This window comes from Homo sapiens, chromosome 1 (assembly GCF_000001405.40).
Source record: "Homo sapiens chromosome 1, GRCh38.p14 Primary Assembly".
NCBI lineage: Eukaryota > Metazoa > Chordata > Mammalia > Primates > Hominidae > Homo > Homo sapiens.
In genome coordinates this window covers 16,588,334-16,604,267 of record NC_000001.11, presented here as the reverse complement: position 1 = coordinate 16,604,267, position 15,934 = coordinate 16,588,334, and the positions used below count along the sequence as shown (strand labels likewise).

The 15,934-nt window shown below is 42.4% G+C and overlaps 1 protein-coding gene across 33 annotated transcripts in view, besides 3 other annotated features; it reads left to right on the top strand.

Moving 5' to 3' along the window:
* Positions 1–15,934, top strand: part of NBPF1 (NBPF member 1) — a gene marked incomplete in the record, with an annotated part of 51,142 nt that overhangs the window by 9,297 nt on the left and 25,911 nt on the right. For 9 of the 33 annotated variants that reach the window (NM_001405700.2, NM_001405679.2, NM_001405697.2 and 6 more), the window contains 7 exon segments: positions 9,255–9,337; positions 9,607–9,676; positions 10,515–10,827; positions 11,955–12,109; positions 12,212–12,421; positions 14,267–14,369; positions 15,205–15,419. In NM_001405700.2, the coding sequence (NP_001392629.1) occupies positions 12,247–12,421; positions 14,267–14,369; positions 15,205–15,419 (493 nt within the window). 33 annotated transcript variants of the gene reach the window in all.
* Positions 448–948: an enhancer, noted in NCBI's record as "H3K27ac hESC enhancer chr1:16929815-16930315 (GRCh37/hg19 assembly coordinates)". NCBI's record gives its function as "activates a minimal SCP1, AML or CMV promoter by ChIP-STARR-seq in primed H9 embryonic stem cells {active_cell/tissue: H9 hESC(primed)}" and the evidence as "EXISTENCE:reporter gene assay evidence [ECO:0000049][PMID:30033119]".
* Positions 12,196–12,385: a silencer, noted in NCBI's record as "fragment chr1:16918378-16918567 (GRCh37/hg19 assembly coordinates)". NCBI's record gives its function as "represses an EF-1alpha promoter that drives an FKBP-Casp9 reporter gene in an ReSE screen in K562 erythroleukemia cells {active_cell/tissue: K562}" and the evidence as "EXISTENCE:reporter gene assay evidence [ECO:0000049][PMID:32094911]".
* Positions 13,713–14,212: an enhancer, noted in NCBI's record as "H3K27ac hESC enhancer chr1:16916551-16917050 (GRCh37/hg19 assembly coordinates)". NCBI's record gives its function as "activates a minimal SCP1, AML or CMV promoter by ChIP-STARR-seq in primed H9 embryonic stem cells {active_cell/tissue: H9 hESC(primed)}" and the evidence as "EXISTENCE:reporter gene assay evidence [ECO:0000049][PMID:30033119]".

Sequence of the window (15,934 nt, the reverse complement as noted above, 5' to 3'; positions counted from 1 at the left end):
ATATCAGAGCCAGAGGAACATTTGGAGGTAATTCAGTACCTCCTCCTTTTCAACCTACAGGAGAGATAGTGGAACAGAAGCAGAAATGGGCCTGCCTGCTGTGCCCAAAATTCATTGGAGATTGTTGTGGTGAAGAATTTCATTTATGATGAAGGAGAAATAAACCCTGTCAGCTTAAATTCAGGCAGGTTTATTGAAAAGGTGAAGAAGCGTCTTGCAGAAGCAAAGCATGGCTGAGGCTTGTGGGCTCTGTCTGGGAAAATGAGCAGCTGACAGTGGCTGATGCTGCCCCTGACTCTGGGGCCATGTGGTCTCTTGTTCCCTGAGAGCATCTCTTCTATTCTCTTGCATCTTCCCTCAGCCTGGCAGTCTCTGTGTACTCTGCAACACATAATTGAGCAAGGCTGTGCCAGCCCCAGTGCCACCTGGCACTTTAGGTCAAATTAGAAAGGCATGAAATAAAGTGGCCCTTCATAATACAGCTGTTGGAACAACAGTTGGAAGTACAATATCTTGACTCCTTATTTAGTGCTTTATGCTGAACTTTCTTTGCTGAATATGAGCACAGACTTCGGAATATTAATGTCACCTAGCGTTCTTAGCTAGTATTCTCCTTTTGTTTTCCCATAACATCCCCTCCTTCTTCCCACAGATCCACTGTCCACTCATTTCCATCCTGTCTCATGCCACTCGGGGCTCGTCCCTCCTAGAATGCATCCCTGGCTCCCGTGCGTGCACACTTCTAGTTAGGTTTAGCAATGGAGGGCCCCCGATGGATCCTGGAAGTGAGAGGAAGGTGAGGTCCGTATTTCTTCCCTGTCCCTCCCTGCTCTGGCACTGAGTATCTGGCAATAGCTGCATCTGTCTATTACTTCAGTGGCCACTCTTCCACAGCCCCAGTTCTCAGTGGGTCCCATAGCATTATTTACCTTTGTTCCTTTAGCTCCCATCAAGGAAGATCCAGAGACATTCTCCTCACCAAGGCGTTAAGAAATGCACAGGTGAGGGGAACAGCGGCATGCGTTTAAAAGTCCTGTGGCGCCCATCCTCTGCAGGCTGGAGGTCATGGCGGGAGCTGCTGCATGGATTTGCCCTCCCTGCTGTCAGTGAGAACAACAGGGTTCTGGAAGAGTAGAGGACAGGCCGTGGGACTTGGCCATCTAGAGACAAGGCGGGAGGGATTTCCCTGAGAGGCAGGGATATGTGGTGGTTACTAATCATTCGAATCATTGTGAGGTGTCTGGGAATGTAATGGATGGGACATCTACTAAGAAATCAACTTACGTTACACTTAGAAAAGCTCTAGTTCTGAGGACAGAGACCTGATGGAGTCACCATAGTGGGAATTTATGACCTGGCATCCAGTTCAGATACCTGGAGCTTCTTGACTGAGGGGAGATTGGATCCCTTGAGGAAGAGTGAAGCCTTCAATGCTGCCACAAGTGTATGCTGTAAATCTTCCTTCAGGCCTTCCCCAGAAGGCCCTGAAGCCATTTATGTGGGTGACTGAAGAAAGGGAAATACTCAGAGCTTCTGTGGCTTGTTGGATGCTGGCTCTGAAGAATGCTAAACTGAGGGCCCTGCGGTGGCCATGAAAATGCACTACTTGCATCTCCAGCTGCAGGAGGCCTAACGAATCAGCAGCCTCAGCTGCTACCCTCCGAATGGAGGACTTGATGACATTTCCCCTGGATCTGCACTAGCCCGTGAGGAGGAAAGCCTCCTATCAAGTCCTCCCAACAGAACACCCATGATGACTCATGAGGATGTTGAAGGTGTTTTCCTGTGGCAACTGTGAGTGTCTTTCTTCAAAGTCTGTTTTGTTCCTGCACATTAACTGATTTATATAAAATAAGAGAATAAATGCCTAGACTCCCATGAGTCTATCTTTTACTGATAAACTCTAGTTCTGAGGACAGAAGCCTGATGGAGTCAGTATAGGGGGAATTTATAACCTGGCATCCAGTTCAGAGACTTGGAGCTTCTCGACTGAGGGGAGATCGGGTCCCTTTGGGGAAAAAAGAAGCCTTCAATGTTGTCACAAGTGTATCCTGGAAATCTTCCTCTAAGCCTTCCTAGAGGGACCTGATAACATGACTTATGATACAGTGACCCCAAATTCAGGGTGTTCTTGTCTACTGTCAAGAATGCAATATCTTATTCCTCTGAATTGAACGTAGTACCAATATTTGTGTGTAGCTATGCACCTTAATAGACCATAGCTAATTAGATGAGGAACGGTAGACCCAATTCAACCATACAGGCATCAACCATATCAGCATACAGGCATCCCTCTCCCACCGTTTCCTTCTTGTCCCCACTCCAAAGCCTTCTCCATTTTATTTGTATTAATTTTCTATTGCTGCATACTAAATTACTGCAAGCATTAGCGGCGTAAAATAAGAATGATTTATTTTCTTGCAGTGTCCACAGATCAGAAGTTCAGGCCTGGATTCTCTGGGTCTTCTTCTCAGGGCCTCACAGGCTGAAATTAGGCTGGGTTTCTTTCTGGAGGTTCTGGGGAAGAACTTCCTCTCAAGTTTCCTCAGGTTGTCAGCTGAGTTCAGTTCCTTGTGACTGTAGGACTGAGATCTCTGTTTTCTTGCTGGCTGTCAGCCAGGGGCCTCTCGCTGCTCCTAGAGGCCTCCCATGTTCCCACTGCATGCTTCCTCCAGCCAGCAGAGGAGGATCGCCCTGCATGGAAACCCTCCTGCACTTCACATCTCTCCAGGAAGTCCTCAGTCCCTCCAAGGAACTCACGTTCACTAGGTCAAGCTCATCAGATAATCTGTCTATCTTAAATTGGACCGATTTGGGATCTCGATTACATCTGTTAACTTGTTTTTGCCATAAATTGTAACACAATCACAGGAGTGACATCTCCTCAGTAGCTTTGTCTACACTCAGGAGGAAGTGATTATATAAGAGCAAAGATCACTGGGGGTCATCTTAGGATTCTGTCTACCATAATATTATAAAGACACAGTAATTAAAAGAGTATAACAGATTTCTGCTTCTGTCTGTTAGAATAAATCATATCAGACTAACCCTGCCTCCATAAACAAACGTAAAATTGTTTTCAGCAGTGTACAACAGGCAGTCCAAGAGAAAACTTAAGGGGGAAGCCCCATGATTTCCTAGTTGTTTGGGGAGAATTTCTCAGCAGCTGCATAGTGAGCTAGAGTCCACTCAGGGCAGGGCAGCTCACTGAGCTGAGAAGGCAGAGATCAGAGTTCAAGACGGCTGAAGCAACTGCAATCTGCAGGGCAGGGCACCAGTGAGGAGACAGCTGATCAAAGGTGCAGCTCTCAAAGTCTATGTGGGGTTCCATGTGCATACTTATCAAGGAGTGGACTCTACCTGCACAAGGAAAAGACTAACAGATTTAACAGAGGGGTGGCTGCTATGAAATTGAGTTTGGACCAGAGGTACTTGAGGTGGAGGAGGGTTGGGGAATGTATGATGGAGTTTCTGCCATCCATGGTGGGAAGAACTCATGCACACCTCATTAGCACCCAGGTATCCAACTGAGACACTAGAATGGATGTGCTTTAGGAATAAGTGTCACACTTTTCAATAAGGCCTATTGTAGACCAACCTGCTAAAGCCTAAAAGCAAACCCTGACAAATTCACAAAGGGGTGGATTGGTGATTGAGTCCTGCCAAATTAGAGGGTCTTGGGAAATGCTGTGGGCTTTCCATGAATCCGTTGTAATAAAACATGAACCAGTCCACATAAGTCCAAAGTGATCAGACAGTAATTTTACTGCCCACTAGAACAAAATTAATTCACACAATCAATGACACATGTTAGCCAGGTCGATATTTAAGCAAAATACATCTAAGAACAGCTAACAAATAACTCTTCTCAAACTCACATAGAGCATTCAGCAAGATAGACCACATGTGCTGAGCCATCGTTAGTATTTTCTGTCCTTTCTCTTTGACTCGTGTATAGTGTGCTCAAACTCTTAAAATTATACACTTTAATGATTATACACTTTCATGCATCTCAATTGCATGTAAGTTATATTTCAATATATTTGTTAAAAGTTTATAATTAAAAAAACTGTCCTAGCTTGATTCAAGAAATCTTTTTTATATTTAAGAAAATGTAATGTTATGTATTATCAGGGCAAAAGAGAAAAACCATATGATTACCTTGTCATACACAGTAAAAGCATTTGGCACAATTGAAAACTTTTTTCATGATTTATAAAAACAAACCCCAGAAAACTCTCAGCATGATAAGAAGAGAAGGCAACACTTTCAACCCTATTAAGGGTAGATTTGAAAAAAACTCAGAGGTAACATTATATTAAATGGCATAGGATTGAATGCTTTTCTATTAAATCAGAGAAAAAAGTAGAATATCTGTTGTTATTCTTTCAATTCAGCATTATACTAGAGATCTAAATCAATGCAATAAAGTAAGAAAAATAAAAGTATTGAAAAGATTGAAAAGAAAGAATTGAAGCTGTCTTTATTCACAGATAATGACTGTGTATGTTAATAATCCTAGAAATCTATAAAAATCTGCCAAAAGTAATTAGTGAGTTTGGTAATGTTGCAGAATATAAGCTCAATAGAAGTAGTCTTTTGTATTTCTGTGTATTAGCAATGAGCATTTGGAAAATGAAATAAAAATACAATTTCATTTCAAGTAACATCTAAATACATGTTGTGCTTAGAAATAAATTCAACAGGCTGGATCCGGTGGCTCACGTGTGTGTGTGTGTGTGTGTGTGTGTGTGTGTGTATGTGTGTGGGTGGGTGTGGGTGTGTATATTCACCTTTTTGAAGATTATCTATCGTTATCTCCAAACAGGGAACATTAAGAGAACATTAAAAGAAACCACAATATAGGAGATATATTTATTTCCAACAAAGGGGTTTTTTAGAGTGTATTTGTATATATATGTATGTATATATATATAAGTTTAATAAGATAAACAGCACAATGAAACAATTTCTCAAAAGACTTGAATAGGTACTTAAGAAAAGAAGATACATGAATGGTCAATTAGCATAGGAAAAGATGCTCTACAGTTTAGCCATCAGGAACATCAATCAATACAACAATGAGATACCAGTACATGTCCTGTACATATGAGATACCAGTACATATCTGGTGCCTGGGATTACAGGCACCGGCCACCATGCCTGGCTAATTTTTTGTATTTTCAGTAGAGGCAGGGTTTTACCATGTTGGCCAGGCTGGTCTTGAACGCCTGACCTCAGGTGATCTGCCCGCCTCAGCCTTGCAAAGTCTTGGGATTACAGGCATGAGCCACCAGGCCCAGCCAAAATGATTCCATTTTTATGAAGCACATGATCAAGCAAAATGAATCTATGGTGGCTGCTAAGTTTAAATATTGGTCCCCTCCAAATCACATGTTCAAATGTGGTCCCCAGTGTTGGAGGTGGGGGTAAATGGGAGGTGTTTGGGTCATGGGAGTGGATCCCTCATGAATAGATGAATCCCCACCCTGGGAGAAGGTAGTGAGTGAATTCTCACTCTCTTAGTTCCTGTAGGAGCTGGTTATTAAAAAGTGCCTCTCACCTTTCCTTGCTCTCTTTTGCTTCCTCTCTCGCCATATGATCTCTGCACACCCTGGTTCCTTTTCACCTTCTGCTGCAAGTGGAAGCAGCCTCAGGCCCTCATTAGGAGCAGATGCGGGGGCCATGCTTCTTGTACAGCCTGCAGAACTATGAGCAAAAGGCACCTCTTGTCTTGATAACTTACCCAGCCTCTGGTATTCCTTTCCAGCAACACAAAGGGGCTAAGGCAGTGACAACATTCAGAATATATTCTTCATTTGGGGGATGAGTATTGACTGGCAAGGACCACATCAGAACTTTGTGGCATGGGGGAAAATGTTCTCTGTCTTTAACTGGGTGTTACTTTACAATTATAATTATATTAAAATTTATTAAGCTGTGCCTTTAGGTTTTTTTGCAGTATACTCTACGCAAATTTTACCTCAGTGAAAAACTGTTAGCATACAACAGACAGATAACAAACACTCAAAAAGGTGAAAATTGACAGAAAATAGGTAACAAATATTTAGCATATAAATAAGAGGGATCCGTTGAGAAGAAACCAAAAGCAACGGAATAGAACAAAGACAAAAAAGTATAATAAAAAGAGTTTTAAATTTCAAAGTTTGAAATGATATTAAAGTGGCACACTGTTTCCTTGGGAAAATCAAGTGAGAACCACAAGTCTGAGACTAATTCCAGCAAAAGTATGTAAATCAGTTTGATCTAATGGTACAAGGTTAGCTTTGAAGGCCAAAAGGAACGGATATCTAATTCTTACTCCTCTCCTCACTAGTTTTGTGACCTAGGGAAATTTTGCAATCTTTCTGAGTTTGTTTTCTCATCAGGAACAGGATAATACCTAAGTAACAGGATAGTTGACAGATTTAAATATGATCGCATGGCGGTGGACATGAGCCGTAATTAGTTGTTAAGAATATATTGACACTGAACTCTCCTTTATCCATGTTAAAATTGTAGATAAACAACAATTGACAAAGAATAGACAAAATGTTCTAACATAAATATTCTTCCCTTGTTTCTAGAAAGAAGTCACACATACGGTAAAAATAATTAGAGAGGACCTAGTTCATATTGAACAATCTTCCCCAAAGCCTGAAACAGGTCTTCTTTCTAACACCAGAGATATCTTGAGTGAGTCCAACCCCTGCAGTCCCCTCTGTCTGGAATAGATGGAGGAAGTTTGCTCCAGCCTTAGAAGAGCATGGGCTGGCAAGCGTTCTCAGAGAGGTCTCGACTTCAACTCTAAAGGGCCTGAGGAATATGTGCAACTGGGTCGGGTTAAGGCCAAGCTGAATCACATGACCAGGGCTCTCACCAGCGCCAAAGTCAGTGGAAGGATATCAGTCCCCAGAGCTCTGTCACAGGCCATGGATGCTCCATGGAGGGGTGGTGAGCATATGAATAACAATCAAGAGAAACATCGGTAATGGACAGGAGGCATCAATAAACAATGTCCACCCTCCTCTAAAACCCAGGAAAGTTCTCATTCAAAAGACGATGTCTTGAAGGAAACCTAGGTACAAATCTTTGTGATTTTGGATTAGACATTTTTTAAGTAGGCACAAACAACCGAAAAATAGATAAATGGACTTCATTAAAATAAAAAACTTGTATGCTTCAAAGGACACTGTCAAGGAAGTGAAAAGATAATCCACATAATGGGAGAACTATTTCCAAATTGTATGTTTGACACAGGTCTAGTACCTAGAGTGTATAAGGAATTCATATAACTGAGCAATAAACGACAACCACATTTAACAATGGGGAAAAAAAGCTGTGAGTAGAGGTTTCTCTAAAGGAAACACACAAATGGCCAAGAAGCACATGCAAAGATGTTCAATGTTTTTCGTCATTAGGAAAATGTAAATTTAAACCAAAATGAGATACCACTTCACACCCAGCAGTATGACTTAAGAAAAAAATAAAGACAACACATGTTTCAAAAGTGATGGAGAATATGGAATTCTCATATATTACTATTGGGAATCTAAAATGATATAGCTACTGAAGTTAGTAAACAGTGTGTGAGTTCCTCAAAAAGTGAAACATAAAGTGACATATGATGCAGCAATTGCACTCCTAGGTTTATAACCAAGAAAATGAAAAACAGATGTTCACTCAAAAACCTGTACAAAGCTGTTCACAGCAGCATTATTCCTAATAGTTAAAAAGTGGAAACATCTTAAACCACCATGAGTTGATGAATAAACAAAATGTGGTATAACCATATAGTGGAATATTATCTGGCCATAAAAAGTTGAAGTACTGACGCAGGCTAGAAAGGATGAAACTTGAGAACAATATTCTAAGAAGCAGATAGAAAATACCACACTTTGTTATTCCATATAGAGGAAGTGCCCAGAACAAGTACATCAATATATAGAGAAGGTAGATTAGTGGTTGTCAGAGAGCGCAAGAAGGGGGGAATTGGAGAGTGTCTGCCCATAGGTACAGGCATGCTTTTTGGCATTATGAAAATATTCTGGAATTAGGTAGTGGCGATGGTTGCGAAAGTTTTGGAATATGGTAAAAGACACTGAAATGTATGCTTAAAAATGGTGAATTTTGTGATGTATAAATTCTACTGTAGAAATAATAATAACAACAAAAGTAATAAAGCAAGGTGTCTTTCCACATCTCCATGTCCAGTATTTTCATTAAAAAAAAGAAAGAAATAAAAGCATTTCAGGGCCAGGTTCAGTGGCTAACTTCTGTAATCCCAGCACTTTTGGAGGCCTAGGTGGGAGGATCGCTTGAGGCCAGAAGTTCAAAACCAGCCTGAGCAACATAGCAAGACCTTGTCTCTATGAAAAATATAAAATTAGCCAGAAATGGTGATGTGTGCCTATAGTTCCAACTACTTGGAAAGCTGAGGCAGGAGGATCGCTTGAGCCCAGAAGTTCAAGATTGCCGTGATCTATAATCACCAGTGCACTCCACCCTGGGTGACAGAATAAGACCCTGTCTCAAAAAAAAAAAAAAAAAAGCATCTCACTTTAATAGTAAGTGGCCAAAATATGATGCTGGCTGCATGTTGTGAGGAAATGTGTTAGATGAAAGAAGTCAAATTGCAGAAGATTTCCTTTTCTCAGAAATGAGGTATAGGGGAGAGAAGCACTGGTCCACCTGAGATCTGGCTCCAGGACTTACAACAAGGGGAACTTGGGCAAGTTACAGACTCTGTGTGCCTCAGTTTCTTCATCACCAAACAGAAAGAATCATCCCATAAACTGTAAGGTCAATGCTGTCAGTGAGTCCCCAAATTGACTGCACATCTGAGTCATGTTAACAAACATTCCAGGCCCCACCTGAGCCCTCTGAATCAGAATCCCTGCAAGGAGGACAATGAACTTGTATTTGCACTGACTTTCCCAGCTGTTTCTTACTTTGATCAAGTTGGGGGTGGGACCCATTGAGCTGCATCACATCATTCCAAAGCCAAAACACAACAGCAGAACAAGAATATTTTCAATGCGGTCTCTAAAGCGGAGGAGAAACTGTTGAGGGAACCTAGAAGTAAAGGACATCTGGCTTGCTGGGCTCCATTTAAACTTTGAGTATAGCAGAGACACGAGCCCTTCGGGACACATGCCTGTCGCAGTGACACTCCAACTTCGGAAGAGTGGAAGCCCTGATTCCAAATTCAAGCATGCTTTGAGTAGAAATTAAGTTTGCCTCTTTTTGCACAGGAAGATGGCCAATCTTTCCTAAGCTGCTCACCTTACAAGAAAACGAATCGTACTGCTAAGAATTCAAACTTCAGCAGTCATGGGTAAGTAAGGAAGTCTTATAAATCTATTTTAGCCACCTAACAAGAAACTAGAAATTTAGCAAGTTCTTTCACATTCAGGACAGTTGTGTTGACTAGATCAGAGGCACTGAGACATGAAGAACAGACCCCTAAAAAGGGAAAGTGTTCCTTTCAGTTTGAGGACATCACTGGAATATTAGGGAAGTGGAAACACAGCTGCCCACTCTACAGTATGGGTTGCCTTTGTGTCCGGAATGTGCCTAATGTCCTGATCTCTGTGCCCTTTTCAGGGAGCCTTGGAAGGAGCCCGAATCACTGATGGAATTGGACAGTGCATGGAGATGGTTCAGCAGGACAAGGGTAAGTGCAGGGGCAAGTCCAGGTCATACTGAGAGACAACGAGTGGCGCTGACAGAGACAGACAAAGATAAAATCAAAAGTTTGTGCTTCATCTTCAAAAACTCAAACTAATAACAAACTTGGCCTTATGAGAAATAATAAGTATTTTTCTATTTACATGAGAATTTAATCTCAAAACAGGAATCAGAAACATATTAAGTCCAGGGCATAAAACCTAAACCACTGCTCATATTTATTCTTTCTAAATAGAGCAAAGTGTAAAATCTTCTCCATAAAATGCACATTGTGCTTATGAAAAGGCCAGTCTTAGTGAGAATCATTGGTATTCCATAGAAGAGTGAATTAAACACAGCCAAGGGAAGACCCAAGTCTCATACTTCTCTTGTATATTCCAGAGTTCCAGGGGAATTCCAGGTGATAGAGGTGATCTCCCATACTGTTAAAGCAAGGTTGCAGACACTTGGGAATTTTGGTCCCAGTACTCTAGGAGGTCACACCTCTGTCCTGGAAAATACTACAGGAATGTATACTCTTCCTATGACTCATTCTGGTCATTCTTCCAGCATCACAAAAACCAAAAAAAAAAAAAGGAAATATGTCCAAATACATGATTTGCTATCCCTCCTCTTCAGGTTTCTTACCTGTTACTTACGGATAACAGCATTACCACAGGATTATGATGAAGATACAATGTCCAAATATAAACACAGTTTTGAGCAAAATGCCTTGTACGAATTGGTCAATGAACAACTAGTAAATAATTATGTGAATATTTACTGAATTATATGGATCCTATGAATAATTACTGAATAATTCATGTGATTGCTTTTATTGGCAGTGCTGAAAACTCATCCCCGTGTGACCTCAAGTAAGCCATGTAACTCTGTGAACCTGCAGTTTTATCATTTTTAAAATAAAGAAACATGACAGATTTTCATTATGACACAGAATGTCAGGTCTCCCAGATGCCAGAAAATACATTTACTTAAAGCCGTTGATACGTCTTAAAGCGGTTTCCTTACAGTGTCATTGGAGGACAGTGTGGAGTGCAGAGAGACATGCTTTGAAATGGGATTGATCCAGTCCTCCTTCCTTCACTACCACATGAATGCTGGGCAGCCCAGGGTCAACCCACCGCACCCTCAACTCAGGCAAGTCCAGCAGCCAATCTTAGGAGACCTGGGCTACAGAACAGTCTCCCAAGTTCCAGGCTCACAAAACCTAGGTGGGGTGAAAGCTGAGAAAGCGAGGAGGTGGTTCAGGGGATCACTCTTTCCTACTCATTCCTCTCATCTCAAACTCACCTTCTACTGCAACACTGAGGATCACCAACCAACCGTGACCATAACCTTGATCTTGCCATGTTCTGTTAGTGGAATGCAACCCAAAATCAATGGTGTTAGGTCATCTCAACAAAATATATATCAAACCATATTGCATAAGAACCGCTCATGGCCCTGTTCTTTTCAGTATATGGGAAAACAAAATGGAAACAACAAAATAGCATCAGGTTTATGAAACTTCCCAAGATAGATGGTCACACATGTTTTCAGGAGATCTCTATATAAATGATTTTGATCACTTGATACCTTGAAAAGAGCTCTTGTGACACTAGAATGACATCCATAAGTGACAAGTATAAAATGTAGCGCTCAGTGACATCAAAAACCAAATCAACCCACATAGAGGAAGAGCTCTGGACATAGGGATGTCAAACTGGTCTAGAGTGTAATGAAAAGCAAAGATGGTGCCCCAGTGAGAAAAAAGAAATCAACATAACAATGGGAAACAGCAAGAAGAATACTGAGACAGGAAAGACAACATTTTTTACAAATGAATTATTCATTCACTTTCTAGTGGATACAGACAAAACTGCAGAAGACCCAGAGGAAATCAGGGCAGGCTAAAAGTTTGATATCTTACACCTGTGGAAAGGCCTTAAGCTCTGTTTTAACTGAGAGCAGGTGGGGTGACTTCATGACTACCATTAAGAAAATACAACCTGTTGGGAAACTGTTTCTGCCTTGATGATGTTGTACAGACAAGAGATAAACAGTGAGGAATATGCTTAGATGTATTGGGAAAGACACGGGTCTGTGGCATCATCACAAGGGTACACGAATACTGAGAGTGAATGCTGAAGGAATGATCCCCATTGGTGGTGACCCTCAGGTGAGACTAGGGTGCCTGTGTTTCAGGAAAGCCTGGGCAATTGGAATGCAGGGCTCCTAAGATTCCATGACACCCCCACCTTCTAATTCTGTTATTGCAACTGCAGACGGTTACCTGGCACGCTGGCCACAGTCTACCTCACTCTTATCAGAGTCTGAGCTACTGGCAGTGCTTTCAGCTCTGAGTTCAGGCACCTCGAACCTTGTTTTTGTGGTGAAGGATCCTAAAGTGCTGTGGGGAGTGATCACATTTTTCACAACAGTAAGTTAAGAATTTCAGTTACTGACATCCCTCAGTCCTGATTAAACCTATTTGATTTCACCAGTTTTTAACCCATCATATGTTTGGGTTTCTTCTCCCCAGTCCCTGGCTCCACCTCTTCTGCCACAAACGTCAGCATGGTGGTATCAGCTGGCCCTTGGTCCAGCGAGAAGGCAGAGACGAACATTTTAGAAATCAACGAGAAATTGCGCCCCCAGCTGGCAGAGAACAAACAGCAGTTCAGAAACCTCAAAGAGAAATGTTTTGTAACTCAACTGGCCGGCTTCCTGGCCAACCGACAGAAGAAATACAGTAAGATCTATAGGCTCACCATCATGAAAGTGATGAATGATGTCCTGTCTTCTCTCTGAGACACTAAATGCTCTCTCCATCAAAAATAATTTCATCCTTCCTGTACTTCTAGGAAAACAGAAATGGGTATTTTAACATTTTGTTAAAGTTGGAAGACAGAGGTACCAAAGTATTTAGCAACTTTCCATGTTTGCAATCAGGTGGGGGTGGGACTAGAGTTAAACTCACAGTTATTGATTTCTAACACAGACACAGAACGACCTGTTTTCTCCAAGAGGCTCAATCATGTTTTCAAGAATCCTCTCTGTACCATATAAGATCCTGCAGACAAATAACATCTAGTCTGTTGTTCTAAATGTCTGAGACTAGTGAACTTTTATTCAGTTCAAGTTTCTGTTGAGGCCCAACAGGCAAGGCTCTGTTCTAGTGACTCTGAGGGAAACTTGGTGATAGTAGCCAGTACCTGCTCTGAGGGGCTTCAAGAGGAGTCTGCTCCTAATAGAACCTGTGCTATCTATAAGTGACAGCATCAAGAGCAGGGAGTAGGGGCCGTGCAACGTGGCTCACTCCTGTAATCTCAGCACTTTGGGAGGCTGAGGCGGGCAGAGCACGAGGTGAGGAGTTTGAGACTAGCCTGGGCAACATGGAGAAACCCCATCTCCACTAAAAATACAAAAAGTAGATGGGCGTCGTGGCGGGCAACTGTAATCACCACTAATCGGGAGGCTGAGGCAGAAGAATCCTTTGAACCCAGCAGGCAGATGTTGCAGTGAGCCAAGATTGCACTATTGCACTCCAGCATGGGTGACAGGGCAAGACTCATCAAAAAACAAACAAACAAAAAGATAAATAAAACAAAAATAAAAATAAAAAGCAGAGAGTACCTTGGTGAGAGTGAAGTCCTGCTTCCTGGTGCACAGGCTCTTGTTCCTAAAGAGGAAGAAAGATCACACCCGAGAATGTGTGGAAGCAGCAGTGCAGTGTGCAAAGCAGGGACCCTCAGCCTGTCTCCTGGGCTCCATCCAAGTTGCTTGTCTTGTCTGTCCCTCAGTTTCCTCATCTGTTCAGAGGGTACTACAATAATACCTACCTCTGTAAATTGCTGCAATGAATTACATGAGGTATTTCCTGTCAATCTCCTTGAACATTAATTGGCACAGTGTAAACACTATCTATTAGTTCTTCATTCTGATGTTTCTAAATTAACACAAACTAATCTTATGCTGTTTCTAAATTAACACAACTAATCTAAATCTTGATGCTGCCTGTCATACTAATAAAATATTTGGGCATATTTCCTTCATGGCCTTATGGTGTTATGTGTCACACTTTATGCTTCAGATATGATTCTTAAAATCATAACTGAAGATATGATTTAAAAATCAAAGATTTTTAAAATCTTTCGCATACTTGTCTTTGAAATTCCCAGTAAAAGGGAAACCGTCAGTCCCATAGTCCTAGGGGCCTTCCCAACTGTACAAGAAATCACTACTTCATGCCCCAGTGCAGTGTTTCAGAGGAGAGGCTGCAAGTCTTGGGAAAGTGGCCCCGCATTCAGAGTCAGACCTCAGGGGCTGTGAGTTCTGACTCCACTTCGTTGTGGTTGAATCATCTTGTCAACTTCCTTGATGTGCCTTGAATTTCTCTTTCTTCGTCTTTAAATTTTGGAGGATAAGATGCCAGAAAGTCAGGAGACTGAAGAGTAAAGATGTGGAAATCCCTGCCTAGAGCCTGGTACGGGGGACAGTTTTGTCCTTGGGATGGACCTGGCTTCTGCCCTGTAGGCAGTGACCACAGCAGCATGTCCAGCCTTCCACTGAGGCAGGCGTGTCTGTCTTTTCTCAGAGTATGAAGAGTGTAAAGACCTCATAAAATTTATGCTGAGGAATGAGCGACAGTTCAAGGAGGAGAAGCTTGCAGAGCAGCTCAAGCAAGCTGAGGAGCTCAGGTGAGGGGACCCCATGGGGGCAGGCAGGGGAGCAGCTGTGTAAATCTCTGAAGTACAGCAGCTCGGTGGGGAGACGTAAGAGCTAAGCTGGGCCAGGGGAAGGGCAGGAATTGCCATGGCAGGCTCGCAACACACAAGTATTTATCAAGCAGAGAAGAAGGATAATAAAAATTTATGGGTTGCAGTTGTTTCTTAGAGCCTTGTTTTCTCTTTTTCAAACAAGTAATTGTTGATGTGAAATTTACATAACACAAAATTAACCAAAGGAGTGTGAACCACACAGCAGCATTCAGTATACTCAAAATGGTGTGCCATCGCCACCCCACTTACCCTTAGTGAGAATCACCTTCTGACTGACTGCGTCTTCTCATTCTTTCACTCAATCAATGTTGCCTTCTCGACCCTGTCATTCTTTTCTTCTTTCGTCTTTTCAATTCGCCCCATCTGCACCTGGCCTCATTTCTGTACATGGCTTTGTATCTAGTGGCCGCAAGATGCACTATGTGTATTTTCACATGGAAATGTCCATGGCCAGAGTGAGGAACTGAAAGGATGTCTTTTTGAAACGGAATTAGGAAGACACCTACTTTTGTTTACAGAAGGGAAAGATGAATGGAACATCATCGAGGATCTTGCAGGAGCCCTCTCTGATACAGAGGAAGCCTGTAAACCATTTTCTATTCTTTCTCTTGGCCACAGTCATTCCTTTCAACATGTGCTGACCTTCTGCTTGGAGGTCTCCTTGAGGACATTGTCTCAGAAATCTCTGTTGCAATATTTGAACGGATCACTCAACCCTTTCCACTCTTAAATTTTCTCTACCGTCTCACCTTAGGCAATATAAAGTCCTGGTTCACTCTCAGGAACGAGAGCTGACCCAGTTAAGGGAGAAGTTACGGGAAGGGAGAGATGCCTCCCGCTCATTGAATCAGCATCTCCAGGCCCTCCTCACTCCGGATAAGCCAGACAAGTCCCAGGGGCAGGACCTCCAAGAACAGCTGGCTGAGGGGTGTAGACTGGCACAGCAACTTTTCCAGAAGCTCAGCCCAGGTAAGGTGGCCATAGGCCCTGATGACCCAAAACCCCAGGCTTATGAGAGGCTCCAGACCTCCATACTTTCACAATGACAGTTGTATCAGTGGGGTTTTTTTCTGCTATACATATGTGGCCATGACATGACCAGGACTTCCTGGGTAAGAACAGAGATGGGAAACCCATGGGGTTGGAGGTCACAGTATTGCAAGTGTCCCTCCTTCCTTGATGGAAGGTGGTCTTTGGAGCAAGAGGCAGCATCTGTCTAGTTTTAAAGGACAGGAAGGAGGCTGTGATGGGAGGGCGCTTGTTGGAGTGAAAAGAGCTCTGGGCTAAGAATGAAGGTTCCCAGGCTGTCTTTTTGACAATGTTCTTAGTAACTGTCGGTGAGTGAGTGATTTATCTTTCCAGAGTTTCTCTCTCTCCATCTGCAAAGGCAAACAAATTGTCTCTTGCAAGGGTCTGAAGCATCCAAATATGGGAACACTTACGAATGCTTTTTAAAATGAGATGAAGCCCCTCTCCGTTTGGTG